This window comes from Homo sapiens, chromosome 4, assembly GCF_000001405.40.
Source record: "Homo sapiens chromosome 4, GRCh38.p14 Primary Assembly".
Taxonomy (NCBI): Eukaryota; Metazoa; Chordata; class Mammalia; order Primates; family Hominidae; genus Homo; species Homo sapiens.
Window position 1 is genome coordinate 181422035 of NC_000004.12, and position 6000 is coordinate 181428034.

Below are 6000 nucleotides of genomic sequence, written 5' to 3' on the forward strand. Positions count from 1 at the left end.
AGGAGATCAAGACCATCCTGGCTAACATGGTGAAACCCCGTCTCTACTAAAAATACAAAAAATTAGATGAGGCAGGAGAATCACTTGAACCAGGGAGGCGGAGGTTGCAGTGAGCCAAGATCGCACCATTGCACTCCAGCCTGGGCAACAGAGAGGGACTCTGTCTCAGGAAAAAAAAAAAAAAAAAGAGAACACCTTGCTACTCATTTTGATCTGGCCGATTGTATAGTGAGATGCTATTTAATGGACTTCTAGGCCGAAGGCAGGGCTGGGACCTAACAGCACTGTGCATTTGGCTCCAGGCCTGGGATTGGAGTGTTCTTAACCTTGATCTGGGCTGCTCTGGTCACTGTTGTGTCTCCTTCAACTGTTGCCTTATCTCAGTTTCTCTGATCCTGACACCATTCCTAAAATCCAAGGTTTAAAATACCAAGTTACACATAATGACATATAGTAACTTATGGTTGGATTGGGGAAATATTTTTTTTCTCTCCAGAACTTTTATACAAATAGGAAGAAGGAGACTCTTTCACCTATACAAGGGGTATATGAAGACATTGTTAAAGTAGCCATAGCATTTTGAAGAGCCCCAAATAAAGAAAGAATCCTGGGTGGATTTGAGGGAAGAATTCGTTATAATGAACCAGAAATACAAGAGTCTACTGAAACTGGAAAAGTTGACAGAATATAGTTGAACTTAATAAAACCTTCAAGGGAAATAAGGGTCAAACAAAGAAAGCCAATGAATGGAAAAGCCCAAGATTGGTTTGGGATAAACATGAGGATAGTCACATTTTAGCATGGGTATCTTCTGACCTCTCCCAGCAGTTCAGCCCCCATCATTCTCCCATCTGACACACCTGCCAGACCAAATGCCTTCTTCCTCTATTTTGCACGTATCAAGCAACCCAATAGTACCTCTTTGGCCATGATACAAAGCTAAGAAGAAACCTCATAAATTTCATGCACGGGTAGAAAGTGCAATGCAACCCAGTAGGCTGGTTGATTATTTATGTGGTGTCAATGCACATGGTAGCAATTTCAATCAAATCAGTCCTGCTACCACAAGTAAGTAACCTCTAACGCAGCCCTGTCATGATGTTTGATGTTCTTAACTTACTAAATTATCAACATGGCCGAATGCATTTTTGAGCTCCAGATTTTCTAAACATTTTTAAGAGGCGATTAAAGAAGATGTAACAGAAACCTATCCCAGAAACCTAGGCATTGGGGAGGAACCCTGACTGGTTCTTTTTGGGACCTTTCTGTGAGGGCAACAGAGATGAACAAAAGAAATGTTAGCGTGTCAGAGGATATGACAAGTGAGGGGAGGCTGAGGTAGGAAGAGGGCGTTCTAGCCACAGGCTAACACAACTGTGTTAAAGGAGAAGTCTGGGCAAAGGAGGGGAAAACACCCCCCCAAACAAAAACAAAAAACCAAACCAAAGGACAAAAGAGTTTCACACAACACAGTATCAAAAAGTAAAAGGAACACACTAAATGCGTGAGCTAATGGTAAGTCAGTCCACAGCCTATTATGATAGGCCCATCCAGCATCAATCAGATTTATTCTCCTCTGCTGTCCCTATTTTTTAATTGTTTGTTAGATAATTGACTGATAAAGGAAAAGAAAATATAGGGAAAGATATCAGCCGGGCATGGTGGCTCACGCCTGTAATCCCAGCGCTTTGAGAGGCCAAGGCAGGTCTATTGCTTGAGCCTGGGAGTTCAAGGCCAGTTTGGCCAACATGGCAAAACTCCACCTCTATAAAAAATACAAAATTTAGCTGGGCATGGAGGCACAGGTCTGTAGTCCCAGTACTTGAGAGGCTGAGGCAGGAGGATGGCTTGAGCTCAGTAAGCAGAGGTTGCAGTGATTCAAGAATGCACCACTGCACTCCAGTCTGGGCAATAGAGCAAGATTCTGTCAAAAAAAAAAAAAAAAAAAAAAAAAAAAAAGAGAAAGAAAGAAAGAAGGAAAGAAAGAGAGAAAGGTTTTATAATGGTGGAGAGAAACTAACAATGAGGAAGCAGCATGGTAGAGAGAGAACTCTGGAGCCTCACAGATGAGCATAAATCTGCTTCTGCCATGTCCTAGCTTTAGGAAGCTAAACTTAATCCCCAAGTCTTGAGAATTTTTTTATTTTTTATATACTCCCTTACAAAATGAATAAAGGTTTCTCATGGGCCTATGGTAAGGATTGGCAGTAATATGGGCAAAGCATTTGATTCATAGTATGTATATTAGGGTCTTACATGCAAGGAAATTAAGACAAACTAAAATTATCTCAGTTAATAGTTCCTTATAGGAGCACAATATTTTTTTTTAATGAATTTACAAAGTCCTGAGCTCTTCTGACTTGGATACTCAATTTCATGTCATAGCAAAGGTATAAAAATGAATTTAAAAATCTGTGGTAAATAAAAACTTTTATAAAAATTGAAGTTATTATTATAATTCTACTATTAAAATAACTTGTCCATGAGTCACATGAGTCACAAAGCTGCATATGTCAAGCAAGCATAGGGAGAAATATATCATGCATACATGAGAAAATCTAACCTGTACACTGTTTTCAAAAGTAACAAAATTATTACAAATACCAAATGTACCAACTCTTGTGATGTTTTATACATATTGTATTAGTTTCATGTTTGTGTTTTTTAGCCCTTTAGACTTTTTTTAGGTTTCGTATATTTTTTGTAGGCCCATACAGTCTTACAGGCCCCAGGTCAGCTGCTTAGAGTGCCCCATGAGACATATAGCTCAGCCTGCATGCAGGCCTGTCAGAGCCTGGAGCACAGATCAGGACACAACCAGCCGAGCTGGCTTGTCTTCTCTGCAAAGGCCATCTCCTAATTCTAGGGCTCTGCCTTTGTAGTAAATGGGCTATTCTCTATTTCTGCTTTGCCTGCCTATTGTGTTAAATAATGCTTTTGTTTTTCATCTCTAAAGTTCAAAATTACAGAGAAGAAGGATCTGGTTGACTCCACTGGTCCAATATTCAACACCATGATAAACCGAGTTCTATGGTCAGGACCAATCTAAGGCTGCTGGTCAGCCCACAGATTGGCTGCCTTCTGGACATTTGCACACCTCTAGGGAGGGAGTGTCACATGGAAAAAAGCAGAGAGAACCAAGGGTAAGGAAGCCCTTGGCAGAGGCCTGAAGCAAAGACAAAACTGTAACAGACAGTTTCTTGCTTGGCCCGTCCAATACAACATGTGCTCAATAAGTTGTTGAAATCATCCTAAGTATTAAGTATTTGAGAAAAATTCCTGGGGAAAAATTATAAGGCATCCCAATAGTAAGCAAACTTATGATCAGGGAGACAATTAAACTGAGACTAAAAAGTAAGAATGTTATTTCGTAATTGTTCAATGAATAATGTATTTTGTAGGTGCCTTAAGTTTAAATGAGGAAAGAGTTTTATAGGCGAGAAAGGTCTTGCTTAATGAAGGAGAGAAATGAGCTTTATCTTGAAAAATGAGTATGGTTATTAAGGCAACAAGAACAAGTAAAAGAATTCTAGTCGAGGGGCAGCCTATGAGCAAACGAACAGAAGTCGGAATGAATAAGTCCAGCTGGTGAAATGCCACAGAGAGGTGTTAAAATGAAGATGGTTAAATTGGGAGATGCGTGGAAGATGAAAGTAGAATGGAAGGTAAAGGCCATTTGTGGAGTTATTTATATAATTCAGTAAGGAGATTGACTTTATATTGACGGTAAGAGTTTTTGAAGGCCTTAGGGCAAAGAAATAGTGAGCTGGTATTGTTTTAAGAATCTAGTTTTGTTGTTTTGTTCTCAGAATTTTTAGGGGGATAAATAGAGAAGAACTCAGAAAGATGAATTTTTAAACATAGAACGGGAGAAAAGAAATAAGTGTGAAGGGCATTGGATACTAGATCAGCTATGGGGAGCCAGGAAGACGAAGGGGGCCAGACGCAGTGGCTCACACCTGTAATCCCAGCACACTGGAAGGCTGAGGTGGGTGGATCATTTGAGGTCAGGAGTTCGAGACCAGTCTGGACAGCATGGTGAAACCCCATCTCTACTTAAAATACAAAAATGAGCTGGGTGTGGTTGGGGGGCGGCGCCTGTAATCCCAGCTACTCAGAAGGCTGATGCAGGAGAATCGCTTGAACCCAGGAGGCAGAGGTTTCAGTGAGCCAAGATCCAGCCACAGCATTCCAGCCTGGGTAACAGAGTGAGACTCCATTTCAAAAAAAAAAAAAAAAAAAGAAGAAGAAGATGAAGGGGTCACATGGTGTCCTGGATGTCTCAGAACAATGATGCCATCATCAACAGAATGGGCTGCATCCAGACGAAGCAGCATTTTTTGGCAAGTCCAGGTCAAGGAATATGTGTCAAAGCAGTCTTACTTATGATGTACAAAGGGCAAACCCATGATGAAATATTTGTTAGCATATGGAACTAAACTGCTTGAGGCAGTGACATATGAAACTGACACGAATAAAGTACGAGAAGTCCTCACAAAATTGTGGAGTGGGCAAAAAGTGGCAGATGAATGATGCTATGGTCAGATAAGATAATGCATTCAGGTGAAAGAGATAAAAACTGTAATTTTAGCATGGTGAGTTCGCTCATAAAACTGTCACTTCTGCTATATAAATTTGTAGTTTCAATATTCAAGGGGTTAATTATACCAAGTCATTGTTGCCACCTAAGCAAAGGACATGGGGATTATTGCTGACGGTTTCATGAAGACCTTAAACCAATATGACATTGGGTAAAACAACCAAAAAATTAAAGAATACAAGAAAAAAGTTTAAAGAACTACTGAATGTGTATATATATATACACACACACACATACATATATAGATATATATAGATATATATAGACATATATAGACATATATAGACATATGTACATATATAGACATATATATATACACACACACACACAGACACACACATATGTACTGTGATAGCTGTAGAAGATTTAGGTTACTCTATTTTTAGAAAAATATAAGAGATGTTTTATATTTATATTTTATATGTTTTATATTTAAAGTTCCTTTAAAATAACTAATTCCCCTGATGGACTAAAAATGAGTAAGTCACAGCCCCAATCATTGAGAAAATTACTATTTAGTAAGAAGAGCAAAAGCCTGGACAATTAAATTATACTAAACCATGATACAAAATATGCCAGAAGCATGCAAAGATTACCGTGATAGCCGACAGGATGGAGCAATTGACTTTGCCCCAGGAAGTCAGTAGAAAACAACCAGAAGATTAAATATCTGAGTTGAGACTCAAAGAATGAGCTGGAATTTTCTGGGTAAAAACGTATGTTAAGTCTTCCAAGCACAGAGAGTAGGATCTGCAAAGCTGTGATGTCATAAAGAAGCTTGGCAGATTGACTGAACAGTGAATTTATTATTCTTTGTGCACAAACTATAGGAAAGGAGAATTACTGAGTGGGGGCCAAGAACAAGAAAGTAAAGTGAATCATTGTGAATAGGCTAGGTTGTGCAGCAGGAACAGACACTCCCACATCTCAGTAACTTGAAACAAGGGTTTATTTCTCACTCCCATACATAGCCATCACAGTCAGCTCACACTTCTGCTCCTCATCATCCTTTCTCTAGGGCCCAGGCTAACAGACCCTCCACCACCTGAATGCTGCTAGAGACCATGACAGGGAGAAAGAGACGGGGCAAGTTGTGCACTGGTTATTTAAAAAACACTCACCGGCCAGACACGGTGGCTCACGCCTGTAATCCCACCACTTTGGGAGGCCGAGGCAGGTGGATCACCTGAAGTCGATAGTTCAAGACCAGCCTGACCAACATGGAGAAACCTCATCTCTACTAAAAACACAAAATTAGCTGGGCATGGTGGCACATGCCTGTAATCCCGGCTGCTCGGGAGGCCAAGGCAGGAGAATAGCTTGAACCAGGGAGGCAGAGGTTGCAGTGAGCTGAGATCGTGCCATGGCACTCCAGCCTGGGCAACCACAGTGAAACTCTG

General features: G+C 40.3%; 1 long non-coding RNA gene across 1 annotated transcript in view; it reads right to left on the reverse strand.

Annotated features, from left to right (window-relative positions):
* LOC124900822 (uncharacterized) overlaps window positions 1-5273 on the reverse strand; it is a 38107-nt gene extending 32834 nt beyond the window's left edge. Inside the window, exon 1 of the long non-coding RNA XR_007058402.1 lies at window positions 5197-5273. This is a non-coding gene — a long non-coding RNA (uncharacterized LOC124900822). The remainder of the gene's footprint in view (window positions 1-5196) is intronic.
* Window positions 5274-6000: the final 727 nt, after the last annotated feature.